Source organism: Homo sapiens, chromosome 16 (genome assembly GCF_000001405.40).
Source record: "Homo sapiens chromosome 16, GRCh38.p14 Primary Assembly".
NCBI classification, from domain to species: domain Eukaryota; kingdom Metazoa; phylum Chordata; class Mammalia; order Primates; family Hominidae; genus Homo; species Homo sapiens.
In genome coordinates, this window is record NC_000016.10 from 4,849,096 (window position 1) to 4,870,174 (window position 21,079).

The window sequence follows — 21,079 nt, forward strand, 5'->3', positions numbered from 1 at the left end:
CGTCCCCCCGCCAAAAAGAAAAAAGAAAAAAAAATCTCAAATGAACATTGCACCAAAACCTAGAGGCATTCCCCTTAACATCAGAAACATGGTACATTTCTACCACTATTAGATAATAAGAATATATTGCCTAAAACCTGAAAGTTCTAGCCAGTGCAGTAAGACAGGAAACAAAAATAAGAAATGCAATTTTTGGAAAAGGGAAGACAGAATTCTCATTTCCGTGGATGATAGGTCTGCCTATTTTGAAAACAAAAACAAAAACCAAAAAACCCATTAAAATAAGAATTCAGGAAGGGTACTCATTATAAGTTGGAATGCACAATTTAGTTTTTCTGTTTCATCAATAACCAGTTTGAAAATACAATGTTTAGAAGGAGATATATATATATATAGTAAGAAAAAATTAAAAATTGCTGAGGATAACCAAGGGACAAGGAAGGCTAGTATTTTCTCAGTAACACCAACTGAGGTTTTTAAAGGGGGATCTTTGTTTTTTTCTTTTTTTTGTTTGAGACGGAGTTTCACTCTTGTCGCCCAGGCTGGAGTGCAGTGGCAGGATCACGGCTCACTGCAGCCTGGACCTTCCCAGTCTAAAGCCATCCTCCCACCTCAGCCTCCTTAGTAGCCAAGACTACAGGGGTGTGCCACCATACCTGGCTAATTTAAAAAAAATTTTTTTGTGCAGATGAAGTCTCATCATGTTGTCCAGGCTGGTCTTAAACTCCTAGGCTCCAGCGATCATCCTGCCTTAGCCTCCCAAAGTGCTGGGTCCGGGAAGTTGAGGCTGCAGTGAGCTCTCATGGTGCCACTGCACTCCAGCCTGGGCAACAGGAGTGAGGCAACTGTCTCACAAAAAAAAAAAAAAAAACCACAAAAAAAGCTAAAATCTTTCCAAGGACTTAGGCAACTCTCGTAAGTCTAATAGATAAATGTAAGTTTTTTTTAAGCATTCAAACATGTTTGAACTTAATTATATTTTCTTAAGCATTTTGAATTATGATTGTAAGTCTAACGTACCATTGTTAAATATATTGGATTCTCTTAAATGTTTCAAATGGCTTAGTAACAGCAGAACATTATAATGATTATAAAACAACCCCAAATCTAAGTGGTAATAGAGTACAGATTTGACTCACTTTATCCTGTAGTCCTATTTTTTACCTTCTTGGGCCTGGAGAGTCACTTAAGCAACTGAAAGGAGCAGTTTTGCCATCTAGGATTGAAGCTGCAGTCTCTCAGACTTGGACTGAGATAAGGTTATGTGTTTACTGCCTGGACAGGGGGAGTAGGACCTGGTTGCCAATTCAAGGATGACCTTCCTGCATCCCATTGGTTAACTTGCTGATTCCCTTCTTATAGTGAGACTGTTCCGGTTCTATCAGTGGGGGAATCTGTAAGCCTTCAGCTGGGATTTATTTCCACAACCCAGCGCATCACAAATATCCTGAGGGCCTTGGAGATTTCTTTTAGGGAAATCTCCTTTAACATCTTAGTACGTGTTGGGAGATGGTCTTTTGCAGCGCCAGCCTGTTACACTGCTAATCGTTTTGCCGCCTGATTAGAATTATTTTAACTCTTCATTTGTAGATATTTTGTTCCCTTATGTGATGTTATAAGTTGATTTTGTGATCATAATTCGACAAATGAATATTGGATATATACAAATACGTCTACATGTATGTGGATATATACGATATATGCTAATTTTCCTGAATTAACTCACATTTGTGATTGATTTACAACCAAAATACAGTGAGTTTTTTTGAAACCTGCCAAAATAATACATAGGCTGGAATGGCAAAGTATTATTTATAAAGAAGGATAATAAACATGAGCTTTAACTTTGCAACATTAAAGTATGAAACTTTACAAAACAGTGCAATACTGATTAAAGAATCTCTAAATACCGTATTAATATGACACATGGACTTCAGAAACAGGCCTTAGATATCTGTGATGTTGCTTTGCAATATATGCCAAATCAGCAGAGGAAGGAAGGATTGTTTAGTGATTGATGCTGGAAGAAACCAAGTTACAGCCTCTCCTCATACTTTATAGCATAGCAAATTCATCTGGGGTTAATGAAGTAAATGTGAAAAAATATCTATAAATGACCATATAGGCTGGGCTCAGTGGCTCACACCTGTAATCCCAGCAGGAGTTCAAAACCAGTCTGGGCAACATGGCAAAACAACGTCCCTACAAAAAATACAAAAATTAGCACGCCTGTAGTTCCAACTACTAGGGAGGCTGAGGTAGGAGGATCGCTTTAGCTTGGGAGGTTGAGGCCTCAGTGAGCTGAGATTGAGTCACTTTATTCCAGCCTGGGCAACAGAGTGAGACCTTGTCTCAAAAAACAAAAAACCTATATACACAAGTTCTTCTATAAGATCTGGTTGGAGACGAACATTCTAGGCATAAAAGAAATGGGAGGAGTCTCAAAGGAAAAGAGCCTAGTTTTAACTGCATACAAAGTTATAATTTCCTTGGAAGGAGGGTCGCTTGAGGTTGTGAGCTTAAGACCAGCCTGGGCAACATAGTGGGTCAGCATCTCTACAAAAAATAGAAAAAATTAGCCAGGCATGGTGGGATATACCTGTAGTCTCAGCTCCTCGAGAGGTTGAAGTGGTGAGAGGTTTGCTTGAGCCTGGGAGGTTGAGGCTGAAGTGGCTGTGATTGGGCCACTGCTCTCTAGCCTGGATATAACAGCGAGACCCTAGCTCAAAAAAAAAAGAAAAAAGTTAACATTTCTTTCATCATACCTCACTCTAAGCAACACTAAACAGCAAATAACAAAACAAGAAGAAGTACTTATAAGAGATATGACAGATTTTGTATATCTATAATGTATAATAATTTATGTATAATATCAAGAGCGCTTACAAGTCAATAAGAAAGTCACAATTTATTCAACCATTCCCTGATTGATTGTCATTTGATTGTCATTTTGGTTGCTTCCATCATTTTTCTTGTATAAACAAGGCTGCAATGAATATCTTTATTTATTGGTATGGTAGAAAGTTCACACTAGAATATGAACTCTTTTAAAAAGCAGGACACAAAATTGTATACGAAGTAAGCAGAAAACATGTATGGCATGTATTAGCATATTCATATTCTGTGAACATTTGGAATTCTGTATTCAAAATCTATTTTGACCATTCCCAAGTGATTTTGAAGGTCTTTGGCATGTCATAATTTGTTATTTTGTCAAGGCCAGTGTTTGGGTGTGAGAGTGGTGCACAGGGCAGGAGTGTGTAACTTTGTTAGGAAGTGAGCCTAGCCACACCCTCCTGAGTCACTGGTTCTTTACTATCCTGGGGTAGGCAATATCTTTTGTTCAGCTGATAAAAGCTTTGTCATTGTGAAGATTGGCTCCCAATGATAGGAAACTGCTGGTGATGAAAATAAAGGGGTCTTAAAGATTATTCTCAGCCAGAAAAAATAAGTGTTAGACAAATTAAATGGAAAATAATTAATATTTTAGTAGTCTTTACAATTTGGAGGTCTAAGGCTCTGTCAGCATGGGTTCTTTAAGGTCAAGGATCTAGGATACACATGCACAGGAAAAAAGACTGGAAGTATGCTAAGCAGTGACTATCTCTGAATGATTGTGAAAAAATTTTAGGATGAATAAGCAGAAAAAAACAATAAATGACAAAATATAACAATGGAGTTTTCTTGACAATGAAATTCTCTTAAACTTAAATCTCTTTAATTAGGCAGGTAAACTATTTTATCATCTTCGTTTGACCTGGCCCTTCTTTTCAATGTTAACAGAAGCCATGCAGTGACACCCGCTAAGACTTGTTGGTAGCCATGTCGGAGCCCCACAGGGTCCAGTTCACCTCTCTCCCAGGTTCCCTGAATCCTGCGTTTTTGAAGAAGTCCCGGAAGGAGGAGGCTGGGGCAGGAGAACAGCATCAGGACTGTGAGCCGGCTGCAGCAGCTGTTCGGATTACACTCACCCTCTTTGAACCAGATCACAAACGCTGCCCAGAGTTCTTCTACCCAGAGCTGGTGAAGAATATCCGAGGGAAGGTAAAAGGCCTTCAGCCTGGAGATAAGGTACACCCCTTTGTTCCCAGAGGCGCTGCAGGTTTAACGCACAGGGGTCAGTGCATGCATGTGGGGCTTCCGTAGCGGGGAAGCAAGACTTAACTGAGGTTTTGGCTGCCCCAAGATCCTGTCACTCACTCAAGGCAAGCACAAGATTTGCTTCTCTTACCTCTGTGCGCAAAGGGAGAGGCCAATTTGAATTATGACTAATTAACATAAATTTTAAAAACAATACATTTTTCTCTGCCAAGGTTATAAACGTTATGTGTAAATGAAACCAGTCCCTGACAGTTCCAGTGTTAGAATTTCATGCTGGACATTTTCCTCTTCCAACAGAATCTTGCTGTCTACCTAGTATAGGGGCAGACAAAAAAACACGTAGACTGCCTTTTTTTTTTTCTTTCTTTTTTTTTTTTTCGAGACCGAGTCTCGCCCTGTCGTCCAGGCTGGAATGCAATGGGGCGATCTCGGCTCACTGTAACCTCCGCCTCCCGAGTTCAAGTGATTCTCCTGCCTCAACCTCCCGAGTACCTGGGACTGACTACAGGTGCACGCCACCACACCCAGCTAATTTCTGTGTTTTTAGTAGAGATGGCGTTTCACTGTGTTGGCCAGGCTGGTCTCAAACTCCTGGCCTCAAGTGATCTGCCTGCCTTGGCTTCCCAAAGTGCTGGGATTACAAACATGAGCCACTGCACCTAGCCACAACTTGATGGATTTTCATGAACTCAGTACCCCCATGTAACCTGCACGTAGGTCACAAAATATATTTATCAGGACCCCAGAAACCCTCCTTCTGCCCTGCCAGAAGACTACCTCAATACTTATGGGCAACCACTGCCCTGATTTCTAACAGCTTAGATCTGCTTAGATTTGTGGGGTTTTTTTGTTTTTGAGGCAGAGTCTTACTCTGTCGCCCAGGCTGGAGTGCAGTGGCACCATCTTGTCTCAGTGCAACCTCTGCCTCCCGGGTTCACGCCATTCTCCTGCCTCAGCCTCCCGAGTAGCTGGGAGTGCAGGCGTCCGCCACCACGCCCGGCAAATTTTTTGTATTTTTAGTAGAGACAGCGTTTCAATGTGTTAGTCAGGGTGGTCTCGATCTCCTGACCTTGTGATCCACCCACCTTGGCCTCTCAAAGTGCTGGGATTACAGGCATGAGCCACAGCACCTGGCCTCTCTTTTTTGTTGTTGTTGTTGTTTTTTGAGACCAAGTCTCACTCTGTCACCCAGGCTGGAGTGCGGTGATGCAATCTTGGCTCACTGCAACTTCCGCCTCCCAGGTTCAAATGTTTCTCCTGCCTCAGCCTCCCGAGTAGCTAGGATTACGGGTGCCAGCCACCACGCCTGGCTAATTTTTTTTTTTTTTTTTTGTATTTTTAGTAGAGATGGGGTTTTACCATTTTAACCATGTAGGCCATGCTGGTCTCCAACTCCTGACCTCAAGTGATCCACCCACCTCCGCCTCCCAAAGTGTTAGGATTATAGGCGTGAGTCACCGCACCTGGCCGTGTTTTTGTATTTTATGTAGATGGAATTGTATGGTATTTGAGTACCGCCTAGGTGAAAAGCTGTTTTTTTTTTTGAGACAGAGTCTCGCTCTGTCGCCCAGGCTGGCATGCAGTGGTGCAATCTTGGCTCACTGCAAGCTCCGCCTCCTCGGTTCATGCCGTTTTCCTGTCTCAGCCTCTCGAGTAGCTGGGACTACAGGCGCCCGCCACCACGTCTGGTTAATTTTTTGTATTTTTAGTAGAGACAGGGTTCCACCGTGTTAGCCAGGATGGTCTCGATCTCCTGACCTCGTGATCCGCCCGTCTCTGCCTCCCAAAGTGCTGGGATTACAGGCGTGAGCCACCGTGCCTGGCCCGTGAAAAGCATTTTTAAGCACCTGTGTCTGCCTTTGCACTGTGCTAGGCTCTGAGGAAAAGGTAAGTGGGCCCCACACTCGCAGCATTGTGGTCTCTAGCATGTCTCTTAGTGAAATGGGGATGAGGCTGGTAATTGGTTCACAGTTGTCTGAGTGTGGAACGAGAATGAAATCATGTTGTGAATTTTCTAGCAGTATGCCTCAGTGCCAAGTGATCAGTCGGTCTTATTCACAGGTGTGCTGTTCGGAGGGTATTTTTGGTTAGAAGGATTAATCTTTTTTTCCTGAGATTAAAAAAATGTGTTTTCTTGGCCTGGCATAGTGGCTCACACCTGTAATCCCAGCACTTTGGGAGTCTGAGACATGAGGATCACTTGACCACAGGAGTTCAAGACTAGCCTGGGCAACATAGTGAAACTCCATCTGTGCAAAATAATACAGAAATTAGCTGGGCATGATGGTGCATGCCTGAAGTTCCAGCTACTCAGAAAGCTGAGGTGGGAGGATTGCTTGAGCCTGGGAGGTCAAGGTTGCAGTGAGCCGTGATCACACCACCGCACTGGGTGAAAGCAAGACCCTGTGTCAAAAAAAAAAAAAAAAAAAAAAGGCTGGAAGGCCTGGCGCAGTGACTCATGCCTGTAATCCCCACACTTTGGGTGGCCGAGGCAGGCGGATCACTTGATGTCAGGAGTTTGATACCAGCCTGATCAACATGGCAAAAACCCATCTCTACTAAAAATACAAAAATTAGCCGGGTGTGGTAGTGCATGCATGTAATCCCAGCTACTCGGTAGGCTGAGGCAGGATAATTGCTTGAACCCAGGAGGCAGAGATTGCAGTGAGCTGAGATCATGCCACTGTACTCCAGCCTGGGTGATGGCGACTCCATCTCCCCCTACCAAAAAACACCAAACCAAAAAAGAAAAAGTGTTTCCTTGATTGAGATCTGATTGCCTGATTGCCAGAATGGAGGCCTGTGAGTCTGTACCAAGGGTCAGCCTGTTGCATGAGCACCACTGGGCAGAATGACAGAAAGTAATTTCAAATCCCTTTATAATTCCTGTTTCAGGAAAATGGTATCTTCTTCCTTTAGAGGAAGAGACAGGAGCAGGAGTTGGTTAATGTGTTTATTCATGGGTTCAAACCAAATCAGCAGGTCAACTGAAATTAGAACTCCAGTGCTCTGATGTCACCTTTTTGGGGACTACAGATGCCCTTCACCATTGCAGAAAAATGCATGGAGGATACACAGAGAATTTTGATCCAATTCAGAGGATTCAGTCCTGGACTTCGGGTTCAGAACTCCTAAATCGTCGTGGGTCTACTCTGCAGTGTTAAAAATACAATAAAATCAGGCACATTTGTGCAGCAGTTCTTTTAGTGTATAGTCCTTAATAGTATGAAGGCATTGTGCTAGACTCAGAGGACTATAGAAAGTTAGAGAAAACACTGTACCAGCCTCAAAACAAACATCCTATAGATGTTTTGAGAGAATGGTACCACCGCAGGTAACAGAAATTACAATATGGTCATTGTTTAAGTCTGGTACGACACAGGCCCTGGAGGTCTTAGAAAGAAGAGAGCTTATTTCCTGATTAGTGTTGGGACAGAGCTGGACCTTCCGTCATACAGTCAGGAAATGGTAGTTATTGGAAGACTGCTGTTGGCAAGGCGTTCAGTAGTATACATAGAATCCAGTGCTGCTCAAGGTTGGTGGGATTTCTTACAGTTACATAACCACTCAAGTTATATGCGATCATTGTAGAAAAATTAGAAGATCCAGATAAGCATGTTTGAAAGACTCCCCATTTGAGGTATGATCGTTAGATGTATGCTCTATAATATCCCATTGTATGTGTACACCACAAATCATTTAACTGATCCTTTGCAGGTGGTATTTCAGTAGGCAGAGATGGGAGGGTGAGATAAGAAAGTTTGTTTGAAACAGGCATACAGTCTTTAGTGTTTTCTGTCTACCTTGAAGTCTTAAACATACTTCGTACAGGAGTCTTATTAAAATTAGGATTCCTGGCTCCTGGCTGGGTGTGGTGGCTCTCGCCTGTAATCCCAGCACTTTGGGAGGCTGAGATGGGCAGATCATTTGAGCCCAGGAGCTTGAGACCAGCCTGGGCAACATGATGAAACCCTATCTATACAAAAAACTTAAAAAAAAAAAATTTAGCTAGGCATAGTGTTGTATGCCTATAGTCCCAGCTATTCAGGAGGCTGAGGCAGGAGGATCACCCGAGCCTGGGGAGGTTGAGGCTACAGTGAGTCATGATTGTGCCACTGCACTGCAGCCTGAGTGACAGAGTGAGACTCTTATCTCAAAAAAAAAAAAAAAAAATTTTTTTTTTTGGATTCCTTGCTCACAAAGCTTAAGGCTTATCTGTGGAAAATTTGCTTGATGAGAAAAGAATAAGCTTATAAAATGGAAATAAGCCTTGGAAGCCTGAGTTTAACTTTGGTAGCACCGAGAGAAGTGCAAATTCAGACCTTTCTAAACAGTATGGCAGAACGGCTCTCAAGAACTTGCACCACATTCAGTGGGATTTTCACGTTTTTGAGCCCTTGACTATTTTGGAAGTCAATGGACTCTTTCTTAGAATGTTTTTAAATGCCTGAAGAAAATTTTAAGAGTTACAAAGGAAGTCCACTTTATTGAACGTGGTTGTGTAGCGACTGGGCATCTCCTTCTAAAGGCCCTTTGCTGTCTTTGAGTCCTGCAGCCCCTCATGCTGTGGTGGATGATTGTAGGCATTCAATCAAGTTTTATTAACCTACATTAAGGGAAATTTTACTTTCTTAATTAAGATAAACATTGATGAGATGGTAGCATGTTTTCTACCTTGCCCTTTTCTGGAAAACATTGTTTTTATAGAGGTATTGAGTAATCAGTGAAGTTTCTATGAATAAGAACATGGGAATATTTTCTGACTTATTTTTTGTGGAACGATCTCTTTACAGAAGAAAGATCTGTCAGATCCTTTCAATGACGAAGAAAAGGAAAGGCATAAAGTAGAGGCCCTTGCCCGAAAATTTGAAGAAAAATACGTAAGATTTCTCTCTTGAATAACAAAACAACCTCATTGGGTGGGAGACGTTTCCACACTGTATTCCTTTAGTGGATCATCATGTAATAAACACTGATCTGGAAGTAAGCCTTAAGCATGGAGAGAAGAGAAGCAGTTATTAAACCTAACGCATTAAGGTACAGAAAAGGGGCATGGCAGAGCTAGTGTGAAGAGCTAACTGGACAAATAACCGAGAAGGGCCTGTGGTCGCCTTAGAAGAAATATTTTGGTACAAAGCATAAGAAGCCATTTAGTTCATTTTTCTGTCCTAGGACATTTTATACAGGTACAAATATGTTCTATGTTAAAAGGTTTTCAGGAAAGGAGGTTTTGGGGTTTGTGTGTATGTGAGAGAGTGACTGTTTTAGTTAGTGCATTACCTCTTTGAGTCATAGCTGATGAAGTTCAAGGCCACAGTTAATTCTGTGTGTTTATTCAAAAAGCATGTAATCTATTGCTTTCACATTTTAGGGTGGAAAGAAACGTAGAAAAGACCGAATACAGGACTTGATCGATATGGGGTATGGTTATGATGAATCCGACTCCTTCATCGATAACTCTGAGGCGGTAAGTAGTTACTGAAAATGCCGTGTCAGACCCACTGTACCTGTAGCTCCTCCTGATACTGACCAGGAAGCTGGGGGTGGGGTCAGAGCAGTCGTGCCCTCTTCCCAGCATGAGGCAGTAGCAGCACTGATGAGAGACGAAATGACATTCTTTATCCGGGTCTTAGTTCCCTCTTCAGAAAGTGATGACCAGATCTGTCCAAAACACCTTGTAGCTCAGACATTCATGTTTGACCAGAGGATGTTTTAGCATGCTCTTGGAAGTGGCAGAGGAGCACAGTCACATCTCTCTCGAGACCCACTTTGCACCTTCGGACTGCAGAAGCAGAACTTGGAGCTGACAGTTTGTTTCCCATCTTCAGTATGATGAGCTTGTTCCTGCTTCTTTGACTACGAAGTATGGAGGATTTTACATTAACTCGGGAACCCTGCAGTTTAGACAAGCATCAGAGTCTGAAGATGACTTCATTAAAGAAAAGAAGAAAAAATCTCCAAAGGTTAGAATGTGCTTGCTTTTGGATTTCAGAAATGCTTTTTGACGTGACCCTATCAGATCAGTAGGTGACTTGCCAGAATACGTGGCGCTTGGCCGGCTCAGGAGGATGGTGGAAAGGCAGAGCCGTGCCAGGTTGATGGCTCGCCTCTTACACGTGTGCCCTAATGAGGACACGTGCCCGTGGGGGCTCTGTTCAGCACTTGGTCATTATGTCCATGTCACATGACATCCCAGCAGGCTCAGCAGGGGTCGTTTCTGGAGGTGGCCTCAGGGTGGGAAGGCTGTGGAATGAGGGAATGTGTACCACTCTTGCTGACCCTCTTCTGTGGACATGTAGAGGACTTCAGTTTCAGGGCTGCCATCCCACTGAAAACCAGTCAGCCTTAGGATCAGTGTGTTTAAAAACCTGTCTACCACTGCCTATGTGTTTAAGATGAGAGGTAGGGCCCACTTGTAACTTTCAAACTACAAAGGTTTCAGGCTCCAGAATGGTCACTGTTGTCTCAGCCCTGGGTGTTTCCAGGAGACACCGTCGGTGGGAATGCTGTGGGTTTGTGGTCCAGGGACTGATCTGAGAGCTTTTGTTCATGAAGGAAATGAGACAGGTCTCAGGATGTGCCCCGGGCGGAGCAAGGCCAGTGCCGTGTAGTGCACTTGCTCCCTGAGTTAGGGAGCCGTGTAACTGTGCCTTGTCTTTAATTCTCAGAAGCGGAAGTTGAAGGAAGGTGGTGAGAAGATAAAGAAGAAGAAAAAAGATGACACTTATGACAAGGAGAAGAAATCGAAAAAGTCCAAGTTTTCCAAAGCCGGGTGAGAGGCAGCAGCTTCTTTGCTAGGATAAAGCCTGAACTGTTAGGGCAGGACGACTGGGAGCTGACTCACCTCCTCCCCACAGCTTCGGAAGAGGCAGCAGGGCCTGGCCTTCCTGTCCTCCCGCACGCCTCCCGCAGTGCCATTCTGGGCATAGACGCTCACCTCTCAGTGTGTCAGATAGTTCCACTGTCAGTGTTGGCAGCTATTGTTGTCACTGTGTGACTGCTGATGTTTCTCGTCCTCTGGGGTGCTCCTCTCTGCCCCAGTTCTCCTTCTGTCTCCGCTGTTTTCCCTTGTTGTCTATGGTCATGCTTCCTTCTCCTCACTTGGTCTCACCCCAGCTTCTCTTCAAGTTGCTGCTGTTCTCTGCTGCTCCTGCTTTCTCCCTCTAAATACTTTTCTTGCTCTCCCTGCCCCTTTTTGCAACCTTTTATTTCAGCCTGGCAGTGGTTTCTAAAAACCCGTCGGAAATTTAGCATATGTGACACTGTGTTGCTAACCTGTATTAACTCTCAAGCTTTGGTCTCAGCAAGAACGAGCTCCATATGCCAAGAGGAGGGAGGAGGAATGACAGGGTGGACTGTGACAGGTTCTCCTGGAGACCATGACCCTGGGAGCAGGGGTGAAGGCCTCTGGAGTTCCCTTTGGAGGTGTCCTATAGTCTGAGTGACCAGTTTCCCTCTTGCTTGCAGCTTCACAGCCCTCAATGCCAGTAAGGAGAAGAAGAAGAAGAAATATTCTGGGGCTTTAAGCGTTAAAGAGATGCTAAAGAAATTTCAGAAAGAGAAAGAGGCTCAGAAAAAAAGGGAGGAGGAGCATAAGCCTGTTGCGGTCCCATCAGCGGAAGCTCAGGGCCTGCGGGAACTGGAGGGTGCCTCTGACCCCTTGCTCTCACTCTTTGGCTCTACTTCTGACAACGACTTGCTCCAGGCGGCCACTGCCATGGACTCGCTGACGGATTTGGACTTGGAGCATCTGCTCAGTGAGTCTCCAGAAGGAAGTCCCTTCCGAGATATGGATGATGGAAGTGATTCCCTTGGGGTGGGATTGGACCAGGAATTCAGGCAGCCCTCTTCTCTCCCCGAAGGCCTGCCAGCACCCCTGGAGAAGCGCGTTAAGGAGCTGGCTCAGGTATGGTGGCACAGTGCGGCTGGGCTTTCCTGGAAGCAGTTTGGGCAGATTGCTGTTGGTTCTGCACTGCGTGAAGCTTGCCCAGAGAAACTCTTAGTGAGTTGGCAGTTAAGGTGTCAGCTTTTTCCAAACCCTATTCTCATCCTGAGGGAGAAAACAGTGTAAGCCTTGCCCGTCAGGCATCATTTTAGGCCTTTCTTGGTTTCTTCATTTCTGGAAAATTTGCTTTCTTCTGGGGAGATTGTTCTCTTTCTGTTTTCTGTCAGTTTGTTTTCCACACGGCATCTTTTCCTTCATGTGATAGACGGATGATGTTGGCAGCAGGCAGCTGAGGCAGAGATTAATCTTAGAATTCTTACGAAGGTTTTGCAAATTCACAAAAGTTTGTAAACATACAAGTTACACGTAGAGTAGATGCTTCGTTGCCACTAGGTTTCAGTCGCTCCCTTGCGTTGTGTATCCAGTGTTAGGTAGTGATTACAGGAATGCCTCAAATGTGATGAATGAAAAGCAGCTTAATTTTAAATGCTGTCCATGTCCCATTAAAACCCACCATCGGCAGGGTGCAGTGGCTCACGCCTGTAATCCCAGCACTTTGGGAGGCCGAGGTGGGCGGATCACCTGAGGTCAGGAGTTCGAGACCAGCCTGGCCAACATGGTGAAACCCTGTTTCTACTAAAAATACAAAAAATTAGCTGGGCCTGGTGGCGCTCGCCGTAATCCCGGCTACTTGGGAGGCTGAGGCAGCAGAATCGCTTGAACCCAGGAGGCGGAGGTTGTGGTGAGTGGAGATTGCGCCAGTGCACTCTAGCCTGGGCCACAGAGCAAGATTCCATTAAAAAACAAACCAACCACCATTACCACCTTTAGGATCTAGCAGCTCTTGCTGTTTTACTCCAGTGATTGGGAATTAAGCACTGAGAATTGTCTGTTCAAGTAACACATTTCTAACTGTAAACTAGGCATGGATCATTGGTTGTAATATCATTTACCTTTAAGTTAAAATAACATTTTACCTTAAGCATCAGGACTTGTGATGCAGCTCTAGTGGCAGTCATAATCTACAGCTGTAGGTTTTAAATCAGTGATTCTTACAGTATTTCAGAAGCATTGTTACCTATAATATCCTTTGTGTTTTAGGGCAGGGTAAATTGTCAGCTACTGCTAAAATGATTTTCTCACTTCCAAAAAATATTTGAACACCATATACAAAGCAAATAAAGTATCTATTCAAAGCTCTACCTCATCTTTGTCAGCTTGTGTCCAGCATTGGAAATTCAAGTATTGTATTTGAATGTAATGATTTAAGTGAATTGTACCATGTTGGGGTTTGGAGTATCTCTTAGTATGACATTGAGGTGGAAGTAGCTGAATCTGAACTTGGTGTTTTTGAGCCTGCTGTCCTATATTTGCTCTCAGAATTCATGTTAACCAAACATTACTCCTTGTTCTTTTTAATCCTCTGGTTCGTAATCAAATTGTTTCTTAGCTTCTGAAAGTCTTGTTAAATCATTTAAGGTCTATGTGACGATAGATGGTCGTTAGAGAAAAGTCAAAACCAGATTCTTGGCTGTGTCCCCACTCGTGCCATAGGTTGTGTTCTAGTGTGAAAACTTACTGTTTCACTTTCTTGGGAAAGATGGGGACAGATTTAGTGGCAACAGAATGACATAACCGGAAACAATGTTGGGCTGTGGTGCAAGAAAGCGGAGCTGAGTAAACACCTTGTTAGGCAAGCTGCCCCTCCTCAGTGATTGCCAAGTGTCAGTTAGCTCTTGGGCATAACAAACACAGGGTTCAGGATCCCATAGTCAAGGTGGGCCTGGGTCCCAGTGGGGAGCTGGTGACCAGGAGAGGCTGATGTTCTGGTTGGAAAATACAGTATTCAAGTGTGAAGTTGATATTCGAGTCTTCACATTGCCCTTCTCCTATAACAGCATTAAGAAACTTTGAAAAATGGGGTGGAAGGTGTATGGAAATTATCCATCCGGCCAATATAAAAACAATTTCTAGTTGGATATTCTTTTCTAGCCTCTGTGTATATGTTTTTATGCAGCTGTAATTATAGTTGTGAATAACTGTTTTCTGCCTTTTTACGTAATATTATAAAGCCCTCATGACTTTTTATGGTTGCATTAAAAAGGTGGCTTATTTTAAAAAGATGCTTAATGCTACTCCGAAGGGTCCTCAGGTGCGCTCTTCTGACCAGGGCCCTGCACTTGGGGCACTTGGAGTCCCTGCATGTGTGTGCAAATGCTCAGGACCCCTGATCCCACTGAGAATCTGCTGGGAAAGATAGTCTTCCCAGGGAAGGAATGCACTGGTATACTCAAATTGCTTATGATTCCAAAAGCCACATGTGGATATTTGATATTTGGATCCTTAATAAGGGGTCCATCCTAGATCTTGAAATGGACATCGCATTTTTAAAATTTAAAGTAAACCTGATGTATGTAACTGGGACATTAGCAGTGTTACGTGTTTCTCACTTTATTTTTTATACCCCTAATTTTCCCCCCCTTTTCCCTCTATTATAAGATTGGGTAGACTTTACATCTTGGCCCTAGGTGACACACAAATCAGTTTCTATCACTGTCTGCAAAACACCCCCCAAAATTTGCCTTGTCATAGCAGTTCGTTTCTCCTGACTCTGGGCCAACGCTCATGGCTGCATTCAGCTGGCAAGTTGGCCAGGTGCTGGCAGGGCTTTTCTTTCCTGGCCTTTCATCCTGCCTTCTTCAGGGCTTGGTGGTCTCAGGGCAACATCTCAAGAGGGGAAAGGTGGAAGCTGCAGGGCCCTTGAGAGCTAGCCTTAGAGGCTATGTGTATCACATGACTTCCAGCACACTTTTGGTCAGAGCAAATCACAAGAGCCGCCCAGATCCAAGGATTAGGGAGCTAGGGTGCACCTCTTTGGGAGGAGAATTTCTTTGTGGGAGGAATCTGTGATCCTGGTTTGTTGTTGTTGTTGCCTTTTTTTTTTTTTTTTTTTTTTTGAGACAGAGTCTGACTCCATCACCCAGGCTGGAGTGCAGTGGTGCAATCTCAGCTCACTGCAACATCCACCTCCGCCTTCTGGGTTCAAGTGATTCTTGTGCCTCAGCCTCCCGAGTAGCTGGGATTACAGGCGTGAGCCACTGCGCCTGGCCTGTGTTCCTGTTTTGTATTCTGCCACAGTACATAGCAGATTCTTATCCCATGTGTATTGATCCCTTAGGGGAAAAAACTCTGGGAAGCAAAATTAGATATATCTTCTAACTAAATATGGTACTTAAAACTTTAAAAAATGTCTTTGAAAACTTGTGTATGTTAAAGAGGTCCTCTGAGAGGGAACCTTGGTGATGCCTCTGCCACGTTCACTACATTCTCACATCAGCCTGTTTTTTGTTACTGATTTGTATTGTACATTTGTATAGGCCCCAGGGAATCCAGTGATTTGATGGCCTTACCCTGCCCTCTGTTAATATGCATTGATGGTGTCTTTTGTCTTGGTTGTTGGCAGGTACAGGTGCTGACAAAGCTCAGGTTTGATGCTCCTTTGGGTTATTGTCTTGAGGTAGTTTGACAGCTACTCAGCCTTGGGCTGGACAAATAACCCAGATCTATTTTGGTTCTCTTTAGTCAAGCATAACATAGAGACAATACTAAGAGCAGGAATCAAAGAGACCCCATGTCACCCATTCTGCTCTGCCCTCTATAGAATTAGAACCCCTCATCACAAGAAGTGCAGGGAGAGATGGATCCAAAGAGAATAACGTAGGGGGAAAAAAAACGAAAACAACTTGTTTGATCTTTTTAAAAAAAATCATGCCCGATTTTCTCCTACTCAGCAAAAACAGATACAGTATATAAGATTTTGAGCTGGGTGCTAAAAGGCTACAGGTGACTTTTCTTAGAATAAATAAAACAGCTCATTAAAAGGCTGTTGGAACTCTTATAAATCAGCATGATTGGGATGTTTAACCTCATTTACTAGTTAACTTAGGATTGATTAATTCACACAACTTCTGGGGTAAGAGTGTCTCTTTTTAGGGGTGAGGGACCCCATTTATTTTTGGAAGACTATCAGATATATATCCAATTGCTCTTTTAATTAGATTTACTTTAAAATGCCGCAGTCGACTCTTCAGTATAAAGCCAGACCCTCAGAGATATTGTCTATGCAATTCAAAAGGTTTACAGAAAAGTACTTTCTAAAATTACATAATATTATTTAAAATATTTTTAAAGATTGCGTAAAGATTACATAGAAAGCTTCTGAAATATTGTACAAGTGGCTATCTAAACAGAAAATTTGGCAGGGCGCGGTGGCTCATGCCTGTAATCGCAGTACTTTGGGAGGCCGAGGTGGGAGGATCACCTGAGCCCAGGAGTTCCAGACCAGCCTGGGTAACAGAGTGAGAAAAAAAAATCTAAAAATTAGTCAGGCGTGGTTGCGTGCAGCTGTAGTCCCAGCTGCTTGGGAAGCTGAGGCGGGAGGATTATTTGAGCCTGGGAGGTCAAGGCTGTATGAGCTGCGATCACGTCACTGCACTCCAGAATGGGTGACAGAGTGAGACCATCTCAATAAAATAAGATGCTGGGCATGGTGGCTCAGCCTGTAATCCCAGCATTTTGGGTGGCTGAGGCGGGCGGATCACTTGGGGTCAGATGTTTGAGACCAGCCTGGCCAACATGGTGAAACCCCATCTCTACTAAAAATACAAAAAATTAGCCGAACATGGGGGTGGGTGCCTGTAATCCCAGCTACTCAGGAGGCTGAGGCAGGAGAATCACTTGAACCCGGGAGGTGGAGGTTGCAGTGAGCTGAGATCACGCCATTGCACTCCAGCCTGGGCAACAGAACAAGACTCCGTCTCAAAAACTAAACTAAAATAAAAAAATAAAAAATAATAAGATAAAATTTGATTGGAAGTTTAAGCTGTAGATGGGTCTGAAAGTGTGGCATGTGAAATACATGTTAATTAGTTTGAATTAATGTAAGGGTGCTTCTCGATCTTAAAACTAGCAGTGTAAGCTTAAGCAAAAAAAGTTCAGTTTTATTTTTTCCCAGACTAATATAATTCTAGTACCTTCCAAGTGCTAAGGTAGAATTCTGAATGTTTCCAAGAGTGTAAGAAATTGGCACATGGCTGGGTGAAAAGTCATGCCCTTTTTTTCCATTATTCGTCTGTGGATTTCACCCCTCTGGGCTTTCACCTAGCCAAGGGATCTGTAGAAGCTTGAGTTTTGCGCATTTTCTTCTGACTTAGTTTTGGTTGTTTGGTGTTAAGCTTTTCTTCCTGTGGCGTGCCGTTTTACAGTAGTATCTTCATTTGTTGATTCATTCACTCAGTCAACATTTAGTAAATATTATGTGACAGGCAGCCATGGGAAATATACTGATGAATAAGACTCAGTTCTATATTTTATTTTATTATTATTTTTTAAGACAGGGTCTTGCTCTGTCACCCAGGCTGGAGTGCAGTGGCACGATCTTGCCTTACTGCAACCTCCACGCCCAGGGCTCAAGTGATCCTGCCACCTCAGCCTCCAGAGTAGTTGGGACCACAGGCATGCACCACCATGCCCAGCTTTTTTTTGTATTTTTAGTAGAGACAGGGTCTCATCATGTGCCCAAGCTGGTCTGAAACTCCTGAGCTCGCGTGTTCCGCCCACCTTGGCCTCCCAATGTGTTAGGATTACAGGTGTGAGCCACCGCGCCGGGCCAAGGTTCCATTCTTGTCTTTCATGAGCTCGTTACATAAATGGACCCGATAGATACGCAGACAATGGACTGTAGTACAGAGCAGAATGAAGTAAGCTTTGTGATGTGTGGACGGCCAGATAGCCGGACTTAAGGGGTTAAAGAGAGGCTCTTGGGGGGCATATAGGAAGCAGACTGGAGGCAACAGGCTTCGCCGGCCTCCTGGGGAAGATGCCCTAAGAGAAGGCAGGGAGCAGAGCTGAAGATGGGCGAGTTGGTGGATGGCTGGGCCAGATCGTGGAGGACCCCAAATGCCATGTGAAGGAGTTTGGGTTTGATACCAGGCTTGGAAAGAGCTGCTGAAGGGTTCTGAAGAAGGGAGTGGCGGTCTTAAGGTTGGAGTGCAATTATTAGAAGTGGGGAACACAGGGGAAGAGCAGAAGCCAGTGGGTCTGGTGTAAGTTGAGTTTGCAAACCAGAGGGTCATCCATCCACAGAAGTGCAGTTGACCCTTGAACAACACAGGGTTTAACTGCGTGGATCCACTTACACGCAGATGTTTTCTAACCAAATGTGGGTTGATTTGAGGGATGCTAAATCTGTGTATAGAGGGCTAACTTTTTGTATAGGCAGGTTCCTCAGGGCTGACTGTGCAGTTGGATTTTGGTATATACGGGGGTCCTGTAACCAATCCCCTGCCTATACCAGGCGTTGACTGTAATTGGGAAATTTCTCAGAGATAACTGGAAATTCTGGTCCAGAGCTTAGATGAGAGGATTTAGGGCTTAGTTTAGATTTGAGTGTACAATTGTCTGTGTTATTTTGAAGCCCTGAGGGGGAAAGAAGTTATTGGGAGAAGTGGGTTCTAGTGAGAATCCTGGGGTCCGCCTATGGAAAGGAGCTGGTGGAGGAGGCAGATGGAGCAGTTAGAGTGGTTGGAAGGGGCCCCAGAGGATGCAGTGAGAGGAAGGTGAGTGGGGGAGATGATGGTGAGGGGTTAGCAGTGTCTGCAATTTCAGAGGGGTTGATCCCTTCATTCTAGATAGTCACCTTATCACCCTTGTTTGCTGTCGTTACTGTATATCATGTCTGATTTCAGAAATTTTATTTCACCCAAAGCCTTCAGACCAGCAGCTCTTGGGTTGAGAGGAATGGTTCCCAGCCCTTTTTGCACATCAGTGTTCCCAGGGTTGCTTTGAAAGAGTACTTGGGCCACTTTTGAGAGTGTGCATTCCTGAATCTCCTTTCCAGAGACTGTGATTTGAATGGCCTGAGTTGCTCCAAGCTGCCCAGGGAATTCCAATATGCAACCAAGTGTGAGAACCCTGATGCAGACTTCCACAGGGTCTGCTTTTTTGTGTTCCCGCTGTGTCGTGGCTGCCTGCCGTGGTTGCTTCAGGGGTCTCTGAGCTTGCCATCCAGGGTGTGTGTTAACTGTGTTCTTTTCGAAAGCAAACTAAGACTGTACTGAAACTCCTATAATCTGGTGTTAATAGGTAATATGGTGGGTTAATTATTCACATGGTCTGGCTAATAGAGAGCTCGTGGTATACCATAAGTAGATTAGGAATTGTCAAAGAGTTTTAATGTCCTTAAGTGTTAGAGCTACACATTATTATTATTTTTGTAGATAAAAAGGCCTTTAAATCCTATAGACTGGTTGAAGTTCTTGAATATTTTTGTACTGTAGATACATGGAAATCCCAACTAATGGTGTAGTTGATGGTGTATGGGTGCAGGGGTTAGTTGGCCTTATTGGCCTCTGGCTAAGTGCATTGTGATGGCTTTGACTCTGATTTTCTTTTCTGTGACTGTTTTAAGTCCCAGGAAGAACTGGCAGCCCACAGATGCTGCAGCAGCATTTGAAAAGAGAATATTGATCGCAGGCGAACTTAACCTGGGACTAGGGTGGAGTTGGAAAGGTGGCGGTGTGACTGTATTGACAGGTGCTCTTTATGGAGCGATGACTCCTGTGCCTGTGGGTGAGCGTAAGGGACATGTGGGGAAAGTGCACTAACGGCTGTTACTGTCTGCTGTGCACCAGGCTGCCAGAGCTGCTGAGGGGGAGAGCAGACAGAAGTTCTTCACCCAGGATATTAATGGAATCCTATTAGAGTGAGTATCGTCTGTCTGTCTGTCTGTCTGTCTGTTTCTGCTATTACTGAGCTTGGGGCAAGCCAGCTAGGGGACAGTGGGAGTACAATTGAACTGCATAAAGGTGACCACCAAGGAGATAAAAGAAGAATTGGATTAACATGGTTTCATTGTTATTTTTCTTTTAAAAATCAAAACACAACAGGGACACCAAGTACTTGTCTCCAGAAGCGATAGACCTCCTTGATCTTAGGCAGCAGGCATTAATAACATGTGATAATCATGGCCTGTTAGAAGAGGATTTCTTGGCAGGTATGAGATGAGGAGAGAGAGAAGGTGTTGCCTGACTGTCTCTGAGAATCCTGAAGAATGAGAGACAGCCTGGTGGCCTCGGGCCTGCTCTGCCTTGGGTGTTGCTTGGCGTCCCTGGCTGTTCCGCTCGCTGGCACTCCTGTTCCTAGTGCCACGTGCATCATCCCTAATGCTGTTCCCACATGCCTGAGCCTCTGAGACACCACGCTGTGTGAATCGGGTTAAAAAACAGATGAGCAAACATTTGTAAATCCAGACTGGGAAAAGTGAATCCTTGTGGCCTGGCCTGCAGTGTTGCCGCTTTTCTCCTGGTTGCAGTTTGTGGCAGGGGAAGCTTGTTGCTCAACAGCTGAGGAGTTTGTGTGTGTAAGAACAGTTGTCAAAATGTGGGTGTTCTACCACATGGCCTCGCCTGGCCGGGACCTGGATTGGCCCCTTGGGTCAGGAAGTGTGAGCTGCAGAGAGCACCTGAGCATTGGTGCGGACGATAGGATTGTGTCAACAAGGAACCTGCTTGAGCGTGCCAAATGTGGACAGCTCAAGGCATTGAAGAGAAATATTTTTTTGCTTATCTAGATGGAGAAACTGGAGGGGTGAGGCTTTCCCTGACCTCATAATGGTTGATAAACGTGGGGACTGGGGGAAAAAAAAGAAATGCTGCCGGGAAGTGTCTCCTTTGAACCCCAAGTAACTCATGACTTTCCACTTTGAAAGCTTTCATGTTTTCTCTATGAAATTTAGTGCTTCAGAGCTTGTTCTCCTGGGCTCTGTTTTCCTGGTATTGTGACCTAAGAGCCTTGGCCCACATTACCTAGCCATGTTCATCAGGCTTGGGAGTTGTTGTTGTTTGTTGATTGCTGAGGATGTGTTTCCTTGGGCATTCAGTTACATTGTGTGACCAACAAGACAGGGTTTGACTGCCGTTGGCTCCTAGCTTTCCTCTCCACGTACGGTGAGCTGATGAAGACAGGAGTTGCAGT

At 44.3% G+C, this 21,079-nt stretch overlaps 1 protein-coding gene across 17 annotated transcripts in view, besides 2 other annotated features; it reads left to right on the forward strand.

Annotated features, from left to right (window-relative positions):
* Positions 1-21,079, forward strand: part of UBN1 (ubinuclein 1) — a 34,921-nt gene that overhangs the window by 1,615 nt on the left and 12,227 nt on the right. For 15 of the 17 annotated variants that reach the window (XR_007064874.1, XR_007064875.1, NM_001079514.3 and 12 more), the window contains 7 exon segments: positions 3,784-4,071; positions 8,895-8,981; positions 9,473-9,568; positions 9,930-10,064; positions 10,770-10,873; positions 11,569-12,007; positions 19,738-19,808. Coding sequence is in view for 15 of the 17 variants with exons in the window: in NM_001079514.3 (NP_001072982.1) it covers positions 3,823-4,071; positions 8,895-8,981; positions 9,473-9,568; positions 9,930-10,064; positions 10,770-10,873; positions 11,569-12,007; positions 19,738-19,808 (1,181 nt within the window). In the remaining 2 variants the exon portion in view is untranslated. 17 annotated transcript variants of the gene reach the window in all.
* Positions 2,775-3,974: an enhancer, noted in NCBI's record as "MED14-independent group 3 enhancer chr16:4901871-4903070 (GRCh37/hg19 assembly coordinates)". NCBI's record gives its function as "activates an origin of replication core promoter dependent on BRD2, BRD4, P300/CBP and CDK7 cofactors, and independent of MED14, by STARR-seq in HCT116 cells {active_cell/tissue: HCT116}" and the evidence as "EXISTENCE:reporter gene assay evidence [ECO:0000049][PMID:35650434]".
* Positions 9,877-11,076: an enhancer, noted in NCBI's record as "MED14-independent group 3 enhancer chr16:4908973-4910172 (GRCh37/hg19 assembly coordinates)". NCBI's record gives its function as "activates an origin of replication core promoter dependent on BRD2, BRD4, P300/CBP and CDK7 cofactors, and independent of MED14, by STARR-seq in HCT116 cells {active_cell/tissue: HCT116}" and the evidence as "EXISTENCE:reporter gene assay evidence [ECO:0000049][PMID:35650434]".